At 44.2% G+C, this 22,376-nt stretch overlaps 1 protein-coding gene and 1 pseudogene across 10 annotated transcripts in view, besides 3 other annotated features; one reads left to right on the top strand and one right to left on the bottom strand.

Moving 5' to 3' along the window:
* Positions 1-17,705, bottom strand: part of CXADR (CXADR cell adhesion molecule) — a 123,220-nt gene extending 105,515 nt beyond the window's left edge. For all 10 annotated transcript variants that reach the window (XR_001754814.2, XM_011529476.3, XM_011529478.3 and 7 more), the window contains exon 1: positions 17,576-17,705. Coding sequence is in view for 9 of the 10 variants with exons in the window: in XM_011529476.3 (XP_011527778.1) it covers positions 17,576-17,618 (43 nt within the window). In the remaining variant the exon portion in view is untranslated. The remainder of the gene's footprint in view (positions 1-17,575) is intronic.
* Positions 1,848-2,784: an enhancer, noted in NCBI's record as "H3K27ac-H3K4me1 hESC enhancer chr21:18900282-18901218 (GRCh37/hg19 assembly coordinates)". NCBI's record gives its function as "activates a minimal SCP1, AML or CMV promoter by ChIP-STARR-seq in naive H9 embryonic stem cells {active_cell/tissue: H9 hESC(naive)}" and the evidence as "EXISTENCE:reporter gene assay evidence [ECO:0000049][PMID:30033119]".
* BTF3L4P1 (basic transcription factor 3 like 4 pseudogene 1) lies at positions 11,687-13,814 on the top strand (annotated as a pseudogene).
* Positions 17,535-18,074: a silencer, noted in NCBI's record as "silent region_13222". NCBI's record gives its function as "represses an Ori minimal core promoter by ATAC-STARR-seq in GM12878 lymphoblastoid cells {active_cell/tissue: GM12878}" and the evidence as "EXISTENCE:reporter gene assay evidence [ECO:0000049][PMID:35858748]".
* Positions 18,135-18,254: a silencer, noted in NCBI's record as "silent region_13221". NCBI's record gives its function as "represses an Ori minimal core promoter by ATAC-STARR-seq in GM12878 lymphoblastoid cells {active_cell/tissue: GM12878}" and the evidence as "EXISTENCE:reporter gene assay evidence [ECO:0000049][PMID:35858748]".

Genomic DNA, 22,376 nt, shown 5'->3' with positions numbered 1-22,376 from the left:
CTGCCTCCTGGGCTCAAGTGATTCTCCTGCCTCAGCCTCCCTAGTAGCTGGGATTACAGGCATGCATTACCACGCCCGGCTAATTTTTGTATTTTTAGTAGAGAAGGGGTTTCACCATGTTGACCAGGTTGGTCTTGAACTGCTAACCTCAAGTGATAGGCCCATCTTGGCCTCTCGAAGTGCTGGGATTACAGGCGTGAGCCACCACGCCCGGCCTTCACAGTAGTTATTTCATAATGGCAAAAAAGCTGGGAAAAAGGGTCCATCAGTAGAATAAATAAATCAATTGTGATACAGTCACATAATAGAATATCACACAGCAATGCAAATGAATAAAACAAAGCTACACAACATGAATAATCTTACCAACATGAGAAGTAAAATAAGACAAAAAACACAAACTGTAAAATTCTATTTATATAAAATGTTAACACTAATCTACATTGTTAGAAATCAGAAAAGAGTGGAAAAAAGGGTGAAGGAGGCCGGGCCCAGTGGCTCACGCCTGTAATCCCAGCACTTTGGGAGGCCGAGGTGGGTGATTGATCACTTGAGGTCAAGAGTTGGAGACCAGCCTGGCCAGTATGGTGAAACCCCGTCTCTACTAAAAAATACAAAAAAAAAAAAAAAAAATAGCCTGGCATGGTGGCATGCGCCTGTAGTCCCAGCTACTCAGGAGGCTGAGGGAAGAGAATCGCTTGAACCCAGGAGGTGTAGGTTGCAGTGAGTCGAGATCAAGCCACTACACTCCAGCATGAGCAACAGAGCGAGACTCCATCTCAAATTAAAAAAAAAAAAGAAAAAGAAAAAGAAAAATAGTAAAGGAAGGGACTGGAAGGGGCATGACAGGGCTTCTGATATGTGGGTTGGGTTCTATTTCCGGATCAGGTTGCTAGGTATGCAGGTGTGGCCACTTTGTGACAATGCTCTACCCTGTACGTTTATAAAAATTAATGGTCTAAACTGTGTGGTAGTCTGTGCATGTCATAACTTCAATTAAAAGCTTTACTTAAAAATAAATTTTAGAATACCTGAAGGAATAAGCAACAAAAAAGCAAATTCAAATTGTCTTTGTGTTAAATACATAATGTTCTAACGCTTTATTAATGTACTTAATTCAAAAAGGCGGCCGGGCGCAGTGGCTCACACCTGTAATCCTAGCACTTTGGGAGACCAAGGTGGGTGGATCACTTGAGGTCAGGAGTTCGAGATCAGCCTGGCCAACATGGCAAAACCCTATCTCTATTAAAAATACAAAAATTAGCAGGGCGTGGTGGCACATGCCTGTAATCCCAGCTGTTCAACAGGTTGAGGCATGAGAATCACTTGAACCCGGGAGGCAGAGCTTGCAGTGAGCTAAGATCATGCCACTGCACTGCAGCCTGGGAGGGAGAATGAAACTGTGTCTCAAAAAAAAAGCCAGGTGCAGTGGCTCAAGCCTGTAATCCCAGCACTTTGGAAGGCCGAGGCGGGTGAATCACGAAGTCAGGAGTTCGACACCAGCCTGACCAACATGGTGAAACCACGTCTCTACTACAAAAATTAGCCAGGCATGGTGGCGGGCTCCTGTAATCCCAGCTACTCAGGAGGCTGAGGCAGGAGAATCGCTTGAACCAGGGAGGCAGAGGTTGCAGTGAGCCTAGATCGCGCCACTGCACTCCAGCCTAGGTGACAGAGTGAGACTCTGTCTCAAAAAAAAAAAAAAAAAAAAAAGACAAAAAGTCCAGTCAAATTGGACAATAAAAAGTACCTCCCCAAGCCACACAGCTGTGCATCACAGTCCGTGAGTAGGAGCAAAGAAACTGCCCCGGAGAACTGATCCACATCAGGAACGGGAGCTGGAGTCTGACCAGGACTAGTGACGAAATTCTGGTTTTAAAGTAGCCAGAAGACCAGTAGGGGTGTGAGAGTTGGGAAAGGCTCTGGAGGCCTCACTGATATTAAGGAGAAGGTGTGATGCAGAATGAGAAAGCTGGGAGGCATGATATTAGAGTTCAAGATTTTAGAAGTGAAGATCTAAGCATTAAAGGGTCTCTGGTTGGCCGGGCGTGCTGCCTCACGCTTGTAATCCCAGCACTTTGGGAGGCCAAGGTGGGCGGATCACCTGAGATCGGGAGTTCAAGACCAGCCTGACCAACATGAAGAAACCCCGTCTCTACTAAAAAATACAAAAAATTAGCTGGGCGTGGTGGCGCATGCCTGTAGTCCCAGCTACTCGGGAGGCTGAGGTAGGAGAATCGCTTGAACCCGGGAGGTGGAGGTTACGGTGAGCCGAGATCGCGCCACTGCACTCCAGCCTGGGTAACGAGCGAAACTCCATTTCAAAAAAAGGGTCTCTGGTTTAGCGTGGGAAAAAAGAAAAAAGAACTAAGCATGCCGGGCGCGGTGGCTCACACCTGTAATCCCAGCACTTTGGGAGGCCAAGGCAGGCGAATCACGAGGTCAGGAAATTGAGACCATCCTGGACAACATGGTGAAACCCCGTCTTTACTAAAAATACAAAAAAATTAGCTGGGTGAGGTGGCAGGCACCTGTAGTCCCAGCTACTCGAGAGGGTGAGGCAGGAGAATGGTGTGAACCCAGGAGGCAGAGCTTGCAGTGAGCTGTGATCTCACCACTGCAATCCGGCCTGGGCGACAGAGCCAGACTCTGTCTCAAAAAAAAAAAAAAAAAAAAAAAGAAAGAACTAAGCATAAGGAGAGCACTGCCTAAGTAAAATTGCTAAAAAATACCTTTCACTGTATTTGAAAGGTCAAGAAAATGTGGTGTAAGGATGTTAGAAAAGTGCATTGTAAAACGTAAATACTAAAATGCCGGATAATGCTGGGGCAGGGGGTGAATGTGAAGCTGAGCATTTCCTGTCAACAAGGAGAAGCAGGCTGCATTCCAGCCTGGGCGACAGAGCGAGATTCCGTCTCATTAAAAAATAAATAAATAAATAAATAAAAATAAAAAAATAAAAAAGGAGCAGCAACTATAAGTTAGATATAAGCAAAGGGCAGAAGTCTCAAAGGATGAGGGGTTCCCAAGGTGGAAGGAAAAATGGTTTAGAGATGCCAGTTAAGGCATGGAAGGAATAATCAGAATACCTTACATTTTCAGATAGCATATCTGCTATGATTCCTGCCTTGCTCTGCCTGGTACCATAGCTGCACGAATAATTGTCTGACTCCTCCCTCTGGATTTAAGCTTGCCAAGAGTACTAGAATGGTGTGTTACTCATTTAAATCTCCTGAAGCAACTATTACAATGCCTTGCCCATAAGTACATATTATTTATTTGCCCTCAAACTTCCACAAGAATTGAGGCTGCTTATCAGAAATATTTAATACAAATTTACAATGGAAAATCAGATAAGGGGAGCTAAAAAGTAAACATCCTGGCAGAGATTTGCTGAACTGGATTGTGACTCAACCCTTCCCCACTCCACTAGCACACAGACATACTCAACTTGGGGGAGCGTTCAAATTCCAATTCTGGTCAAAACTATTCTTCTTCTTGGTTGGTCTAAAAGTAGTGAATTATTTCAATCAATTGTTCACAGTTACAGATCCAACTCTTTGTTCTTCTCTTCCCCCCTTCTTACTACTGCACTTGACGAGTCAAAAGAAAAATTATTCTCCTTTTCAACCGAAATAGTATATTACCTTCCTCATATTCTCTACTACATAGATCCTAATTTCAGAATTCTCTGGCAAAATAAATGCAAATAGGGTATTTTGCATTATGGGTAAGGCAGATCAGTTGCCATGGTGAATATTTTCATCACCTTCATAGAATAATATGTATCACTCCATATAAGGAAATCTTCCTTTGCCTCCTGGCTCATATAAAACTTGCAGCTCGCTTCTCTTCCTCTTCAATTAACATGAGACAGGAAAAGTGACTATTTAGCAAAACAAAAACAAAAACAAAACACCAAAACCCACCCAGATGAAGTGTCTTATAAAGATGTGATCACAGAAAATAAGATATCCAAGAAATAGACACAGATGTTATTAGCAAAATGAGCAAATAGTGTATTTCCTTATAGAAAAGTCCTGAAGTTAATGAAGAAAAAGTTAACTCCAATAAGAAAATTATCCCTGTTGTGAGCATGTCTAACCTGATTGCCCCAATCTTGGTATAGATTCCTTTTTAATAACTCTAAGTGAATTCAAATTTCCCCAGCAACCATTACCTGGGGCCATTCTATCCTGCTTCTTTTGGACCTTTCCATAAATGCATTTATTTCCCCACCTAGGCAAATTAAAAATATAATTATTATGCATATACTTTTCTGCTTTATACTCAAGATGTGATTGGCTTTAACTATGGAATAAGGAGAGCTGATACAATTTTGTGTGCCTGTAACAAATGTTTTGATGACTACAAGAGATTAAGTAAGAAATAAGAAACTATTTTAGCTCATCGCTAACAGGAAACAAATACTATGTGACAAAAAAAAAATAACGATTTTAGAAGTAAAATCTCATGAGAACTATTCCAAAGGCATGTTCCATTTGAGAAAGCTGTTTTGATGGCACACTGCCCCCATGCTTTTTCAGGTTAAATGTTCTAGGACTATGGTGGAAGATGACTGGAACTAAAACTCCTAGTGCTGACCAATACAGTAGCTGCTGGCACTTGAAACATGGCTAGTGCAAATGAGATGTGCTGTAGGTCAAACACTGACCAGATTCTGGCAAAGTACGAAAAACATTTTAATATCCCAATATTTTTCATTTGAATACATGGGGAAAAAAGCATATTTTGTATGTATTGTGTTAAACAAAATATATTGTTTCATTTCACATTTTTCTTTTTGCCTTTTAATGTGGCTACTAGCAAATTTTAAATTACATATGTGGCTTGCATTATATTTCTGTTGGACAGCACTGTTCTAACACCAATGCCACAATTGCCTGGGCTTTAGGACTTGTTTCCTATACATGAGAATAATATGATGTGTCCTTTCTATCCCAAGGTTAAGAGAGTGGCTCTAAATGAGATGCGTGTGCAATTGTCTTTAAAAATAAGATATGATCATTTTGCTCATCCAGATTTACAAGTTCATTCTAGAAGTATCAGATTTCCACTGTACAACTGAGTAAGTTAAGAGTCTTCTCAATTCTTCCTGCAGAATTACCCTGGCACAAAACAAAGTCAAAAGTTTGTATCTGGTCCTTGACAGAAATCTCCCATGGGAACTGTCCAGTATTCAAGTGTTTAAAATACATGTGAGAGAGACTGAAGAGAATAAGTGATAGTCACTCCAACAACTGAACAAAGGTGGGGGCTGAACACATTTAGTTCATTGTATGTCCCTTGAGATTCCTTGAGAGGACTTCAAACATACAGTCAATCCACCCTTCCTCTGAAAATGTCTAAAACTCACATAGAACACACATCTAACGATGGGAAAGTGAAAAAATAACTGCAATTAGTTATGTTGTTTCTTCTTAAAATCTTAACATACTTTTATTTCTTAGAAGTAAATGAAATTAAAACCATTCCCATTCCACTTTGTAAGAAATATCTTTGAAAGAATGAAAATGATTTTAACGTTTCCAAAGAAATTTGCATTTTCTTAGTATGTATAAATGTTGGTTAATTTAATTGTTAATCCTTTTTCTCACCAAGTACCAAAGGACAAACTGAACCATACCACTGATCTCACACTTACCCTAAAAATATTGTTACTATTATCTCCTTCCCTTTTCCTATCTTCCTTTTTTTATCAATAGATCAAGAAAGTCTTTTCTTCTGCAAACACCCCACCAACTGAAATAAACTACAAAAACTTGAGTCAACTTAAACTCAAAGGCTTAATTTAAGTCTAATTGGCTAACTTTTTTTGGACACAGGGTTTCACTCTGTCGCCCAGGCTGGAGTGCGGTGGTGCAATCATAGCTCACTGCAGCCTTGACCTCCTGGGCTCAAGTGATTCTCCTACCTCAGCCTCCCGAATAGCTGGGACTACAGGAACGTGCCACCACACCCGGCTAATTTTTGTATCACACGTGGCTAATTTTTGTATTTTTTGTAGAGATGAGGTCTTGTTATGTTGCACAGGCTAATCTTGAGCTCAAGTGATTCTCCCACCTCAGCCTTCCAAAGTGCTGGAATTACAGGCGCACACCACCACTCCCAGCCTCTAACTGGCTTTTTTTTTTTTTTTTTTTTTTTTTTTGAGATAGAGTCTTGCTCTGTTGCCCAGGCTGGAGTGCAGTGGCATGATCTCGGCTCACTGCAGCCTCTGCCTCCCGGGTTCCAGCGATTCTCCTCCTGGGTAGCTCCTGATTCAGCCTCTTAGGTAGCTGAGATTACAGGCACACACCACCACGCCCAGCTGATTTTTGTATTTTTAGTAGAGACAGGGTTTCACTATGTTGGCCAGGCTGGTCTCGAATGCCTGACCTCAGGTGATCCGCCTGCTTCGGCCTCCCACAAGTGCTGGAATTACAGGCATGAGCCACCACGCCTGGCCCTGGGTAACTACTGAAAAAAGAATGGGTGAGGCAATAAGTTGAGGGAAGAAAGACAAATGGGAAGGCACAGAAGAGATCAATGTAGGCCAGGCACAGTGGCTCACACGTGTAATCCCAGCACTTTGGGAGGCTGAGGTGGGTGGATCACCTGAGGTCAGAAGTTCAAGACCAGGCTGGCCAACATGGTGAAACCCCAACTCTACTAAAAATACACACACACACACACACACACACGCACACACACACACAAAATCGCCTGGGCATGGTGGTGAGCGCCTGTAATCCTAGCTGCTTGGGAGGCTGAGGCAGGAGAATTGCTTAAACCTGGGAGGCGGAGGTTGCAGTGAACCGAGATCGCGCCACTGCACTCCAGCCTGGGCGACAGAGCAAGACTCTGTTTAAAAAAGAAAAAGAAAAATAAAAAGAACCAACCTAAATCCAAACCCAATTGAACAATTATTATTCTAGATTACTAGGTTTGTTTTCTTAAGAAACAGAAGTTAGATGAAAGACAGTAAGATAAACCCATAAGGTCATTCTGGTTGGATAATTTTTAATTGTTTTCTGCATTATTTTAATAATTATCTTATTTTAATAATTAATTTAATTTAATAATTATCTTCACATCAACTACTTGCTAGCCACCAAATAAACTGAATCCAAAGTTCCCAGCCTCAATTATTTCCTTTATTTAATGACACAAAGCATCAACTCTCATCTGATGATGACTTCTATGACAGATGAAAGGTGGAAATAAGGGAAGGGGAGAGAACTGGCTGCAAGTAGGAGAACTAAATGTGAGTGGTGATATAAACTCCACTCCTGAACACCTGGCAAAGCTGACACAAAGCTGACCTGTGCAGGACACAGAGCCCAGCCCTGCTCACCTCTTCCATGAGGTACCTATTCTTGATCTTCAAATGCTCTTTCTCTTCTAGGTCCTTCCCAAGCCTACAAACATGAATTCCTGTCTAGCATAACTTTCCCCATTTATGCAATGAACATGCCCTGTGCCATATACTGGGAATACAATGTAAACAGTGCCTGACCTATGAAATGTACATTCTGGCAAGAGAAAACAATGACAGTATCGGCATGCTTGATAAAGGTTAGAACATGCTGCAGTAAGTAACAGGATGTGCCTGGAGGACAGGGTAAAGTTCACTCAACAGGAGGCCAATTATGAAAGCATCTCAACAAGCTGAAGAGAGAATGGTATAACCTAGATTACAGGTAGTGGCTGGAGGGACACAATGACTTCGAAATTGGATATGAGCAGATGGGAAAATAGGAAAGGCCAAGTAAGATATTCATATTTTTGCCTGGGCATTTTGGTGTCTGAAAATGCCAATTAATATGAGAGAGAAGAGTGTGAAACAGAATCAGCTGGAGATGCCTGTGGGAAGTGTGTGTAGAGACATTAAGTGGATGGTTTTGATGTGGGTAAAGTTGGAGAAGGGAGACTAGAAATGTACTGGAGACTGTAGGCAAATAAACAGTAACTGCACCCATAAACTGAGAAATGTTGGCATTTACGGTACACGAAGGAAATGGACCATACAAAAGGAAATGAGGAATAGCTCAAGAGCAGAAAGAAACTGTTCAATAGAGCTATTTGTGCTGAGGTTTAAGAGGCTGAAGATACGATGTGACCACCGGATGTAGCCACAGTGTCAACTGCAATCTACAGCAACTGCAGTTTCATAGAAGTAGAAGGGGATGAAAATTAGATTGCAAAGGATGGAAGAATTAGTGGGCATGAAAGAAAATAATGCAGTCAGTACATGCAGGCTATTTTTTCCAGAAATCTGGTTAATAAAGAAAAATAAAGGCTGAGCGCAGTGGCTCACACCTGTAATCCCAGCACTTTCGGAGGCCGAGGCGGGCGGATCACCTGAGGTCGGGAGTTCACAACCAGCCTGACTAACATGGAGAAACCCCCGCTCTACTAAAAATACAAAATTACCCAGGCGTGGTGGTGCATGCCTGTAATCCCAGCTACTCGGGAGGCTGAGGCAGGAGAATCACTTGAACCCGGGAGGCAGAGGTTGCGGTGAGTCGAGATCGCGCCATTGCACTCTAGCCTGGGCAACAAGAGCAAAACTCCGTCTCCAAAAAAAAAAGGAAGAAAGAAGAAAAATAAGCCTAGGTGCCTGTAGTCCCAGCTACTTGAGGGCTGAGATAGAAGAATCACCTGAGCCCACTGCACTCCAGCGTGGGCAAGAGAGAGAGACACTGTCTCAAAAAAATAAATAATTTAAAAATAAAAAATAAAGGCAAAGCGACAACAGTACCGAAGGAATATAAAGAGGGATAAATAAGCTTGGTTAAAGTTGACGGAATCCAGATATAATAGATGGGATAACAGAGTGACATCCCTGAGAAGCCAAAAGGTCTGAAGTTCAGGAATTGGCCTTAAGGAGAAATACCATGTTTTGTGGAATGATGATGTGGACAAGATTGTAGGCCTAGATGGAGGGAAGTTAAAAGAGTCTTTATCTGCTGGCTTCTACCTTCTCCCCTGGGATATGCTACTGTCCTCTGGAATTAAGGCCACACATGCAAAGCTTCACTGTCAAACCACCTGCAAATGTGAAGTTTATTTTTCACTCTCCACTTACCTGATGCCCACTCCTCTATCAAAATTTGGAGCCTGGCCAGGTGCGGTGGCTCACGCCTATAATCCCAGCACTTTGGGAAGCCAAGGAGGGTGGATCACCTGAGGTCAGGAGTTCGAGACCAGCCTGGCCAACATGGCGAAGCCCCATCTCTACTAAAAATAAAAAAATTAGCCAGGTGTGGTGGCGGGCACCTGTATTCCCAGCTACTCGGGACGCTGAGGCAGGAGAATCGCTTGAACCCAGGAGGTGGAAGTTGTAGTGAACCGTGATCGTGCCACTGCACTCCAGCCTGGGTAACAGAACAAGACTCCGTCTCAAAATAATAATAATAATAATAAAATCTGGCTTCACTCTCACCTCTGCAGAGCTGTCTTCCCCATGGGAACTTTCTGAATGTTCTCAACAGTCTCCCAGTGCTAAAACCCACTAGCCTCACTTTTGCATCATTCTCTAGGACACCTTCATCCTCTAGGTCTCCTATATCCCCTATCACTCCTTCTTACTCCCAGCTGCTTCCTCATGTACTTATTAGAAGTTCATGTTTCCCCCGCCTCACATTTCACCTTCTCTTCTAGTCCTACCTGCATTTCCTCCTTAACTTTATACAGACGCCACCTAACAGCAGTGAATTCTCAAGTCTGTATCACCAATGTCTGTCTCTTTCCTGAAATCCAGTCCTGTGTTGCAATCTTCCTATCAGATATTTTTTTACCTCCTTGCCTCTCAGGCACCTCAAATACTACCTGTCCAAACTTAAGCTCATTGTCATCTCCCTAAAACCTGCTCCTTTTTATTTCCCGTAGGTTAGTGACATCATTATACACTCAAGCCAGAAATCTCTCCAACTTTTTCATGCTACTCATTCAAGCAACCAGACATCAGGTTCCACTACTATCTTCTTCAGAAAAGCTTTCCAGATCAAAGCAGAAGCCCAACTCTCTTCTGCTGCGTTTCAACAGGGACTGCTTACGTCCAGATCATCCCAGAGGATTCCTGTGTTAGCTCTATCAGTTCTACCTTCCTTGAGAACTGCTACATAGCTACCATTCAATAAAATAAATCTCAGCGTATAACCTTACTTCTCGACACTTCCACAAATGTCTTAGTACCGTGGGGTTAGGGTGCATAACCTGACAGACCTGTCAGCTCCCACCAAGCTCTCAGTATGGCCTTTAGATCTTTGCCCACACAAAACGTGGTCAGCAGTGACATCATGTAAAACTTGTTAAAATGCAAACTCACAAGCCCCACCTAGACTTCCTTGTAAGAATCATTCAGATGCACAAAGTTTGAGAAGCACTGGTTAGGTGCCTTACATGCACTGAACTACTCAACTCCCAAGACATATCAAACCCTTCAGATCTCTATGTCTTTGCAAAAGCTGTACCATCTGACTGGAAAATTCTGCCAAAGCTTTTGCAACTTGCAATGTCATGTTCTATTGTAGGGGCACCTGGCACATGGCTTTGCACATAGTAGTATCAGTACATTAAGTATCACTTAATTAACAGGTGAGTGTACTTGGAGAGTGAAGAGTGTTAGGTATTCGAATGGAAGTTGAATAGTTACGCAGTTGGAAATAGTGGCCCAGGATCCAAAGCAGAGGTGGGTTGAGGTGCAAATATATATTTTATATATATATGTGTGTGTGTGCATGTGCGTGCGTGTGTGTGTGTGTGTATACATATAATTTATTTTGAGATGGAGTCTCGCTCTGTCACCCAGGCTGGAGTGCAGTGGCGCGATCTCAGCTCACTGAAACCTCAGCCTCCCAGCTTCAAGCAATTCTCCTGCTTCAGCCTCCTGAGTAGCTGGGATTACAGACGCACATCACCACACCTGGCTAATTTTTGTATTTTTAGTACAGACAGGGTTTCACCATGTTGGCCAGGCTGGGAGCTGAAAATATTTTTAATTCACTACCAATACTTGGGAGATTACCATGATGGATACAAGAGGTCACCCAGGTTTAAGGTCAAGATTGACTATGGGCTAAACTATAAGGAAGGCTGACATTTAAGGGACCTATTTTAGAAGACAGTAAAGCGCAGGTCAACAGGGTGGGAAAGAACCAAAATAGGTGTCAAGGAGTTCCAAAGAGATAAACCAATTTGGCACATGCATTACTGTAACCTTTGGCAACTGAAGCAGGAGAAAAAATAGAACGAGGTCAAAGATAAAGCAGAAGCTCAGCTTCTTTAGATTAAAAACTGACTCAGACATGACTAGTGGAATAATCACTGTAAGGACCATCTTTATTAGATGAGAAGGGAGAGAGTGATGAACTGAAGAGAGCTCTATCATACACACAGGCCTAGTGGCAAAGAAGTTGAAAACTTTCAGTCATGCAAAAAGGACTTGCTGAACACTAGCTGTCTGCCAGGAGCCACAAGACCATGCAGGGACTGCAACAATGAATATAGGTAATGGCCCTGTCCTCTGATCTAGTGCAGTGAGCTAAGTTGGTAATCGATGGAGACCCCACAACAGACAGGGTAAGGAGCCAATGTAGGGAGGCTTGCCTTGGAGGGGAGGCATTTTTCCTCTGATGGTGGTATAATCGCAGGAATGAAAAGATTAAGAGGGGGCATATCGGGCAGCCATCTTGCTCTTGCCGCGTGCTGGTGCTGGAGGACCCTCCCTGCTTCAGATTTACCAACAGCATGAATCAAGAAAAGTTAGCCAAACTTCAGGCTCAGGTCCGGATAGGGGGCAAGGGTACAGCTCGCAGAAAGAAGGTGGTACATAAAACAGCCATGGCTGATGACAAAAAGCTTCAGAGTTCTCTAAAAAAACTGGCTGTGAATAATATAGTTGGTATTGAAGAGATGAACATGATTAAAGATGATGGGACAGTTATTCACTTCAACAATCCCAAAGTCCAAGCTTCCCTTTCTGCTAACACCTTTGCAATTACTGGTCATGCAGAAGCCAAACCAATCACAGAAATGATACCTGGAATATTAAGTCAGCTTGGTGCTGACAGTTTAACAAGCCTTAGGAAGTTAGCTGAACAGTTCCCACGGCAAGTCTTGGACAGTAAAGCAGCAAAACCAGAAGACACTGATGAGGAGGATGATGATGTTCCCGATCTTGTAGAAAATTTTGATGAGGCATCAAAGAATGAAGCTGGCATGGTTTTTGGAAGCTGGCATGGACTAGATTGAACAAATCAGCTATGTGGTTCCAAAGTTTTACAGACACAGAGAACATCACCTGTTACTAGTTCACTAATATAAATATTTTGTATATTAATAATGCTGTTCAGCATTTTTCTGTCATTTGATTTTGCATTTTGCCTTCCTCTCAGGATATTTTTTTGGTCAAAATATGAAGTATTGGTGCAGTTTGAGGGTGTTCTGGGTTTTGATTCCTGGTTTTTTTGTTTTTGGTTTGGGGTATTTTTGGTGTATGTTTGCTTATGTATGTGTGTGGGTATGTGTGTATACAGTGGAGAGCAAATTGGAAAACAGTTCTATTTATCCTCCTCCCTCCCCAGTAGAAATAAAAAAAATCTTTACATTTGTTACTTTTCTTTTCCCCCTATAAAACACAGAATTAATGGAAAGTGAGTATCTTGGATTTCAGATCTGAAGAGATTTTTACCATTAGTGGTTTGATTTTAATCTGCTTGGTTAACTATCATATTTTTCATACACTTCTCTGGGTTTAAAATGTCTTGAGGTATTTTGCCACTGGCTTCATGCTGGAGTAATGGGTAACATATCTTTGGTATGGTTCCCTTAGATTCACTTACCTAGTCAGACCCAGAAGAACTTCTTTTACTAGCTTGCTTCCTAAATGCCTTTTTTCCTTTCCTTTTGGTCTCCAAATGGCCTGGTCAGCTTTTGGTAATATTCTTCCTCATCTTCCACCTAGCTTGAGAAGGATGTTCTCCATATAGAGTTAAGCGAGTGCCTAATCCCACCTTTTGTAAGATTTTGTTCCCTCATCTTGAGGAACAACAACTTCAACTTTTTATTTCTCCCCGATTTTACAGTTTGGTAGATTTCAAACTGGAATAGCTAGCATGTGCTTGCTAAATAATTTTATGCCAGCCTTATCCTGTATCCTAGCTGTTCTTAATAGCAGGTACAAAAATGCCTCTTTTTCAGCAAGGTTGAAATTGGGAATGTGCTTTTGAATCAGAAGAAAATAGGCCAGACTCATCCCCCAACACAAATGGGCATTCTATGAAATGGTACTGGCCCTAGGAGGATTTCCTCAACCACTCTCCTACTCTTGGCCTTGAACCTACCTCTGGGTTGGATCTTACTATTGTAGCTGCTCACTATACCCTCCTGCATGCTTAGAATAATGCTTTGGGGGGAGCACTGGTAAAACACAGTATTTATTATTTTACCTCCTTTAAGAGGACTTGGAGGTAAGTTGCATTCATTCACTCAAGTTTCCCTCTTGCTGTCTAATAGAAGCTTACGTTTTGCTATATCAGCATTTGTTACAGCCAATATTTAAGGATAAAATTTAGAAAATATATCATTTCCTGGCCCATCATCAAACTAATACAGCTTAACCTTGCAGCTACCAACTTTTGTGTCAAGCTAGGTACCTTTATTTGATATCTGAGATGCAAGACCAATAATATATTAAGAGATCTACAGACATGAAGGCAAAGCTCTTGTATTTTTTTTCATCCAAACACCTCAATTTATTTTATAAATTTGGTATTTTTCTGTTTTTTTTCTATTTTTCATTGACAAAAATTGTGTATGTTTATCTACATATAACACATTATTTTGAAATATGTGTGCCTTGTGAAATGGTTAAATCCAGGGAATTAACATATGCATTACCTCACATACTTTTTGTGGTGAGAACACTTAAAATCCACTCATAGCAATTTTCAAAAATATAATACATTGTTATTAACTATAGTCACCATGTTGGATAATGGATTTAATTTTGTATCCCTTGACCAACATCTACCCAACCCTTCCACCTTCAACCCCCATTACCTGCTCCAGGATCCCCATTCTTGACACGTAAGGCAACAGACACACAGTGAGGCTTGGCCACCATCAAATAGCTAACAAGAGGTTGGGAGACCAGACTTTTTTAGTTCCATTCATGTTGGCAATTGAAGAACACCACCCCAAACTTTAACAAGATCCCTAAGTAATGCTGACGCTGCAGGTCCCTAGGCCACATTAGTTTACAATGTCAACCCAAGCCCTGGAGAAACTAGTGTCCTCACAATGCCTCAAAGTATTCAATTAAGACTATGACATTAAAGAGCTAATAATAAAAGCCTTCAGTATTTGACACACAGTCAAACCAACAGTAGGTTCTTAATAAATGACAGATGACCAGTGGTAGTAAGAGAAAGTGGCTGCTGTAGGGACAGAAGAGCATAGTGTGATGAGAACACAGATTCAAGAGCAAATCTGTGATCTTCACAAGTTAATTATATAACGACTCTGTGCCTCTGTTTCTCTATTTGTACAACAGGGATAAGTATAATAAATACCCTCTCGGGTTGCTTGGTGGATTGAATATATAGGTATGTAAAGCCCTTAGAACAGTATCTGGCATTTCATAACTGATCAAGGGTTTAATTTTACTACTACTGCTACTGCCACTGCTTACTACTGCTGCTACTACTGATTACTAGTAGTATGACTCACTAGTAGGCAGCCAATAAAAATGCATCGAAAGGAGTCCCATCTGCAGCCAGAGTATACCACAAAACTGTTTCAGAGCTGGAGGAATATCTATCACTGACGGTATAATCTGAATGAGTCTTTCCCTTGTTTTGCTAAAGTAGGAGTCAATCATGTTAACAGTGAACTTGAGTTAATAACAATGCCTTTTTTTTTGTTTATTTGTTTCAGAGACGGAGTCTAGCTCTGTCGCCCAGGCTGGAATGCAGTGGCGCGATGTGGGCTCACTGCAAGCTACGCCTCCCGGGTTCACGCCATTCTCCTGCCTCAGCCTCAGCTGGTACTACAGGCGCCTGCCACCAGGCTCGGCTAATTTTTTTGTATTTTTAGTAGGGACGGGGTTTCACCGTGTTAGCCAGGATGGTCTCGATCTCCTAACCTCATGATCTGCCCGCCTCGGCCTCCCAAAGTGCTGGGATTACAGGCGTGAGCCACCGCGCCCGGCCCATACCAATGCATTTCTAAATGGTCAGAAATATCTGAAGAAATAAAGCCATTCATCAATTAGTATGTCTTCTTTTTTTTTTTGAGACAGAGTCTCACTCTGTCGCCCAGGCTCGAGAGCAGCGTCATGATCTTAGACCTCATGAGCTTAGACCTCCCAGGCTCCGGCAAACCTCCCATCTCAGCCTCCCGCGTAGCTGGGACTATGACAAGCATCACTGCACCTAGCTAGTTCTTTTTGGGTTTTATTTTGTTGTATTTTTTGTAGAAATGCGGTCTCGCCATGTTGCCCAGGCTGGTCTCAAACTCCTACACTCAAATGACCCTCCCGTCTCAACCTCCCAAATTGCTGGGATTACAAGCACCGTGCCTGGCCTCAGCTGTTCTTAAACTGAAAAACTGGAATAAAGATAGTTGCCTTGTTTAGCTGAGACACTGGCCCTTCGAGTAGATGTTCACTGTACCCGTGTATACCTTATGAGCACAATGACTCTCTGCATCAAAATATTATTTCTTAGAATTGTGCCTATCAAAGTGAGGCATTCCAAAAAAAAAAAATTAAATCCAATTATCTAAATATTCCCGTTAAAACAACAACAACTAGTTCCTGCCAGGCATGGTGGCTCACGCTTGTAATCCCAGGACTCTGGGAGGCTGAGGGAGGCGGATCACCTGAGGTCGGGAGTTTGAGACCAGCCTGACCAACATGGTTTCTACTAAAAATAAAAAAGTTAGCCGGGCATGGTGGGGGGTGCCTGTAATCCCAGCTACTCAGGAGGCTGAGGCAGGAGAATCGCTTAAACGCGGGGGGCGGAGGTTGTGGTGAGCCAAGATCACGCCATTGCACTCCAGCCTGTGCAACAAGAGCGAAACTCCATTTAAAAAAAAAAAAAAGTTCCTCCACATAATTTATGTTCTTCCACTTTTCTGCTTTAGATGTGGTCTAAAACTATTTTTTTTTTTTTTCCCAGAGAACACACTGTGTTCTCAACTTCATCTTCAGGTTCGGCCTAGACAAAAAAAAGAAAAAAAAGAAAGAAAGGTGGGAATGTACCTGTAAACTGGTTCTATGACCCTTCATCTTCTCCGGAAGGCTTACTTTGGACATTTCAGCCCGCCAAGTCTAAATGATATATATCAAAAAGGTGGAGGTAGTGCTATAGGCTCAGATCGAAGATTAGACTTGCTAATAGAATGTTGATCCCATGAGTAATGCTCACAGCTGTGGCATCCAACAATGGAATTAACATTTCAACAGGAAGCAGAGAGCCATCCCAACAGAAAGGGCCACTAGATCCTGCTTCAGAGCACCTAACAACAAAAAATTACCCTTCCAGAGGCTATACTAAGTGCGCCTCCTAGGATCCCACCTACGGATTTTTAAAAATGAATTATTTGGTTATAAAACGCAGCAAGTGCTTAGTTTGACAAACAAGATCAGTTGGTTAAAACACCGACATGGAAAATCCGTTTTTTAAAGTGTCAAAATGATTACGCCTCCTAATGGTCCACGCATTTTTCACATGCCTTTTTTCCCCTCCCAGAGAAAGGAGCAGTCGACAAACGCACTTGGCAAATCCTCTAGCAATTACCCTGTACAACTCAGCCCGTCTTATCTCCAAAATGAACGACTCATTACAAACTCAAAAACGAGGTCACTGAATTCTCCTTTGCACTTCGCCCAAGGACTGCAGAAACCAATGCTACATTTTTGCAGGAACCCACTTTTGATTTTCCACGGTCTCCTTCACAATGCGCGTCTGGTTAGCAGCTCCTGCCTGGGCGAGCTGCTTCCAGGAGACTAACACCGTCCAGGCTGGCGTTCGCTCAGCGCCTCTTTCCTAGAGGTAGCCTGGCCGATCCGAGGCACCGGGCAGCTCCATGTCCATTGAATAATGGCGTTTGCAATTCAGCCTCCCCGCCTGGGCGACTCGACACCTGAAAACTCGCCGCCCAAGGTTTTTGAAATCGGGTAACGCTGGAGAGAACCGACACGAAGGCTGACAAGGGAGACGGCGAGAGCAAAGAAAGGCAAGCCCGCACCGGGGCAGAGAATGCTATGGGAGAGCTGCGAGGCGCACCCGACACGCCGCGCCCGAGCCCCTCCGCCTCCACCCCCCGCCGAGGGCTCCGTCCCCGGGCACTCCGCGCGCCCTGCGCGGCTCCCTACGGGACGGCTCCAGGAGCGCCCGGCCCAGCAAAAGCGCCCCTGTGCAATTCTGCCCGCCCCGCCGCCCCTGCAGCAGCGCCCCCAAATCGCGCCCGCCCCCTCCCCCACGCCCCATTGTTCCTGGGTGGCCGCGGGCAGCGAGCGCCCCCGGGCTGGGCGGGTGCTGAGGACCCCATGGCCCCTACTCACCCACTACTCCGCACAGGAGCACGAAGCACAGCAGGAGCGCCATGGTGGCTGCCGTGCCGTGGGCGGCGGCTGCAGGTAGGCGGCTCTCGCTCCTGGTCCCAGGCTCCCCGCGCCTCGCGCGCTCCCGACTGGCTCGCGGCGGCGGCGGCACCTCTGCACCCTCCGCCCCTCCTCCCAGCCCCCGCTCGGCAGGTGAACTCGCGTCACTTCCGGCAGCGGCCCGGGCCGGGCTGCGAGCGCCGGCTTCTCCAGCCGCGTGGGGTTGCCTTGGCAACCGGGCGAGGCGCTCTTCTGTCCCCGGGACCCTCCCGGCGCCGAACTCTCAGCCTCCCGGCGCGCGGCGTCGTAGGTCGCGGGCGGCCGCCTCCCACGCCGCAAGCCTGCGCAGGGGTCCCCGCCTCCATCCCTTAAGCTAAACCAGGGTTTTGCGCGCGGGGGTGGGGCAGCCCGTCTCCCACATACTGAAATTGCGTTGGCGCCCTCCTTTAAGGCGAGGCACGGGACACTCCCAGGGGCCGCCACTAGGGCGGCTCCTACCCTCCGCCCCGCCTGCACCCACCCGTCCCACCCCTCGCGGTTTGCCCCAGGGGCAGGTTCTCTGACCTCATGCTCACGGGATGCGACCTGTGCAGCCCCTGGCCTTCGCTCTCTTAACGAGCCGCTCTGGCTGACATAAAAAGCGCGAGAGGGCTTTTCTCCATCTCTGGTAGGGATAGAGCCCCTCTGCAGCTACCGATTTGGGAAATACCTGAGGTTTTTTCCACTTGCACAGAAAGGCTATTCTAGCCCTGAAGCTGGCTAGTAAGACGCTATAGTCCCAGCTACTCCGGAGGCTGAGGTAGGCAGACAACTATTATCCAATATTAGTGAGTGAGCTTTGAAAGTGGGGCTCAGTAGTTGTGGTTGAAGGCGTCAGTTGGAGTGTGGGGTCGGGGAATTGGAGATCTTGAAAGTTGTTGTCGGCTGCTCTTCCAGATAACGTTTATTTATAACTACATAGAGACTTTGTAGTGCCGCGACAGTTCCATAACAGAAATGAATTGAAGAAGAGGAGCGGTGGGTAAGAGCTTATTCCGCGGAGTGGGGCAGTAACTGGGCAGGTTTCATAGAAATGGCACCTACTTCGGGGTTGCTATGAAAGTTAAATGAGATAATGCACAAAAAATGCTTGGCACCCTGCCTGGCACGTAGTTTTAATTAGCTTCCACTTACTGAGTTCTTGCTTACAGGGTTCCTGCTTATGTAGTCTATAAGCTTACATAGTTTGTAAGTTCCTGCTTACTATCTAGACTAAGCAGGAACCCCCGTAAGCAGAATTCAGTAAGTGGAAGCTAATAAAACTAATATTGGAAAATTCTTATTATGCATTGAACCAGAAAAGAGAAGGGGCAAAGAAATCAGGTATCAAGAAGACCAGAATTGCGCAACTGCAGTTTAGCCTGGTGAGTTGCAATTCTGGCTGCACATGAAAATTACTTGGAGAATGTTTTAAAAATACTAGTGCCTGGCTGGGCGCGGTGACTCACGCCTGTAATCCCAGCACTTTGGGGGCCCAGGCGGGCGGATCATGAGGTCAGGAGATCGAGACCATCCTGGCTAACACGGTGAAACCCTGTCTCTACTAAAAATACAAAAAATTAGCCAGGCGTGGTTGCAGGCGCCTGTAGTCCCAGCGACTCGGGAGGCTGAGGCAGGAGAATGGCGTGAACCCCGGGAGGGGGAGCTTGCAGTGAGCCGAGATTGCGCCACTGCACTCCAGCCTGGGCGACACAGCGAGACTCCGTCTCAAAAAAAAAAAAAATATATCTATCTATCTATCTATCTATATATGTATATATATACTAGTACCTGAGCCTTACTCAAGTGATTCCAATTTAATTTGATTTAAGGGGAATCCTGCTTTACGGCAGCCCAATAAATGACAGATGACCAGTGGTAGTAAGAGGAAGTGGCTTTGCAAAATCATACCATCTGATTGTAAAGTTCTGCCAAAGCTTTTACAAACTAATAAGAGTTCAATACAGACGTAAGACAACATGAGTAACGGCTAGGGACTTCCCATTTGAGCAAACAGGAATTCTACTGGATATAATTGCGTGTAAATAATATTTGGAATTTAAATTTTTACTCACCACACTAAATGAAATCAAGCAGAGAAGAGCAAGTATTGAAGTTGTTCATCTGTTTAACAGTGTTCTACGAGAACTTTTCTATACTCGCTCTGTCGCCCAGGCTGGAGTTCAGTGACCCCATCTCGGCTCACTGCAACCTCCGCCTCCAAGGTTCAAGCGATTCTTCTGCTTCAGCTTCCCGAGTACCTGGGACTACAGGCGCGCGCCACCACGCCCGGCTAATTTTTGTATTTTTAGTAGAGACGGGGTTTCACCATATGGGCCAGGCTGGTCTCGAACTCCCAGCATGTTGGGAGGCAGAGGTGGACGATCGCCTGAGCCCAGGCGTTCGAGACCAGCCTGGGCAACATGGCAAGACCCCCCATATCTACTAAAAATAAAAAATGAGCCGGATGTGATGGCGCGCAGTGCCTGTAGTCCCAGCTACTCCGGAGGCTGAGGTAGGAGGACAAATATTATCCAATATTAGTTTTGTTATCTTCCACTTACTATGTGCAGGAACCCGGTAAGCAGGATCTCAGTAAGTGGAGCTAATAAAGTGAGCCCAGGAGGCAGAGGTTGCAGAGAGCCTTGATCCAAGAAGGAGAAGGAAGCAGAAAGAAGAAGAAAAGGAGGAGGAGGAGGAGGAAGAATTACCCAAAAGGATTTAGGAGGAGGAGGGGGGGGGGAGGAATTACCCGAAAGGATTTAGGAGGAGGAGGGAGGAGGACCGGGAGGACGAAGGGAGGAGGAAGGAGGAGGAGGAGGAAGAGGAACAACAACTACCCAAAAGGATTTTTATCTTAATCCCTTTCCTGGTACTTTTTCTTCTAATTCTTAGCTTTTGCCTCCTTCTGTGTTAGGCATTTGCATACCTATTAATCACTTTTCTTGTTCTAAATACTTCTAGAAGGCTGAAAAAGCACATTTTTTTTTTGTCTTCGTCACTTCTGAAAGCACATACTAGGTTCTCAAGTATTTCTCAAGTTGAATTGAATGCTTATTTTCTATGGCAATATGTTAATAAAATTTAAGTATCTGTGCAACAACAAATCATTGCACCTTAAATATATCTTTTCAGAATGTGCTTTTTTGGGAGAGGGGGACAGGATCTCGCTCTGTCGCCCAGGCTGGAGTGCAGTGGCGTGATCTCGCCCACTGCAACCTTGGCCTCCTGGATTCAAGCGATTCTCCTGCCTCAGCCTCCTGAGTAGCAGGGACTACAGGTGCACTCCACCACACCCGGCTAATTTTTGTATTTTTAGTAGAGACAGGGTTTCATCATGTTAGCCAGGATGGTCTAGATCTCCTGACCTCAGGTGATCGCCCACCTTGGCCTCCCAAAGTGCTGGGATTACAGCCGTGAGCCACTGTGCCCAGCCCAGAATGCGTTTTTTAAAACGTAAGTTTTACATCAATTTTTTTCTGCTGCTTTAGATTACTGAACACAGATTTTTTTAAAATGTACCATTCTAAGATTTAAATAATCTTGAAAGAAGCAGTCGATCTTATTTGGGGAAGTATTGTTCTTTAAAAAGTTACATGAAGTCATTTTTAGACTTTGGTTTGTGACTAAATTATTTCATAAACAGTAGCTAAAATTATGCAGTTATGTGAAATATATTAAAGACACCTTAAAATGCATTTGTGGCTGTTGTCAGCTTGGAAATTATGTCTTCTGGAAGCTATAATAAGATAATCTCATTTATTCTGGAACATATAAATTATTCTTTTTTGTCTTCAAACCAAGCTAAGAAATAGTGCACAGCCATTAAGTGAATTGCCCTGTCTTAGTAATGCACCAAGCACTCCACATTATATAGCCTCTAAACCAGCTTAAAGGTGATGATCCTTGCTCCATCAAGGCTATAATTACAGATACACAAATAACTGTGGTTAATAAAGCATCCATCCTTACAAAAATGTCTCAGCACTAATAGATCTATGAACACACCCATAGATTATTAAAATCCTACAATCATATTCAAAGGTTAATTTATACTTAAGAATTAAAGGATTTTCATCTCTTCTCAGCTTGGAATATGAAGACATGTGAATTAAGAAACTCTCTTTTTTTTTTTTTTTTTTTTGGGACGGATCTCCATCTGTCACCCAGGCTGGAGTGCAGTGGCATGATCTCGGCTCACTGCAACTTCGCCTCCCGGGTTCAAGCAATTCTGCCTCAGCCTCACGTGTAGCTGGGATTACAGGCATGCACCACCACACCCGGCTATTTTTGTATTTCTAGCAGAGATGGGGGTTTCGTCATGTTGGCTAGACTGGTCTCAAACCCCTGACCTCAGGTGATTTGCCTGCCTCAGCCTCCCAAAGTGCTAGGATTACAGGCGTGAGTCACTGCGCCAGGCCAAGAAACTTTCTATTATATGTGAAACTGCTGCTAATTTTTCTGTTTTCTGAAAAATGATAATGCTGTTCTTAAGAAATGAAGATTTCGCCAGTCACAGTGGCTCACGCCTGTAATCCCAGCACTTTGGGATGCCGAGGCGGGCAGATCACCTGAGGTCGTGAGTTCGAGATCAGCCTAACTAACATGGAGAAACCCCATCTCTACTAAAAATACAAAATTAGCCGGGTGTGGTGGCACATGCCTGTAATCCCAGCTACTCGGGAGGCTAAGGCAGGAGAATCGCTTGAACCTGGGAGGCGGTGGTGGGTGGAGATCGCGCCAT

This window comes from Homo sapiens, chromosome 21, assembly GCF_000001405.40.
Source record: "Homo sapiens chromosome 21, GRCh38.p14 Primary Assembly".
NCBI lineage: Eukaryota > Metazoa > Chordata > Mammalia > Primates > Hominidae > Homo > Homo sapiens.
The sequence above is the reverse complement of the archived record's forward strand: the minus strand, read 5'-3'. Positions and strand labels throughout refer to the sequence as shown.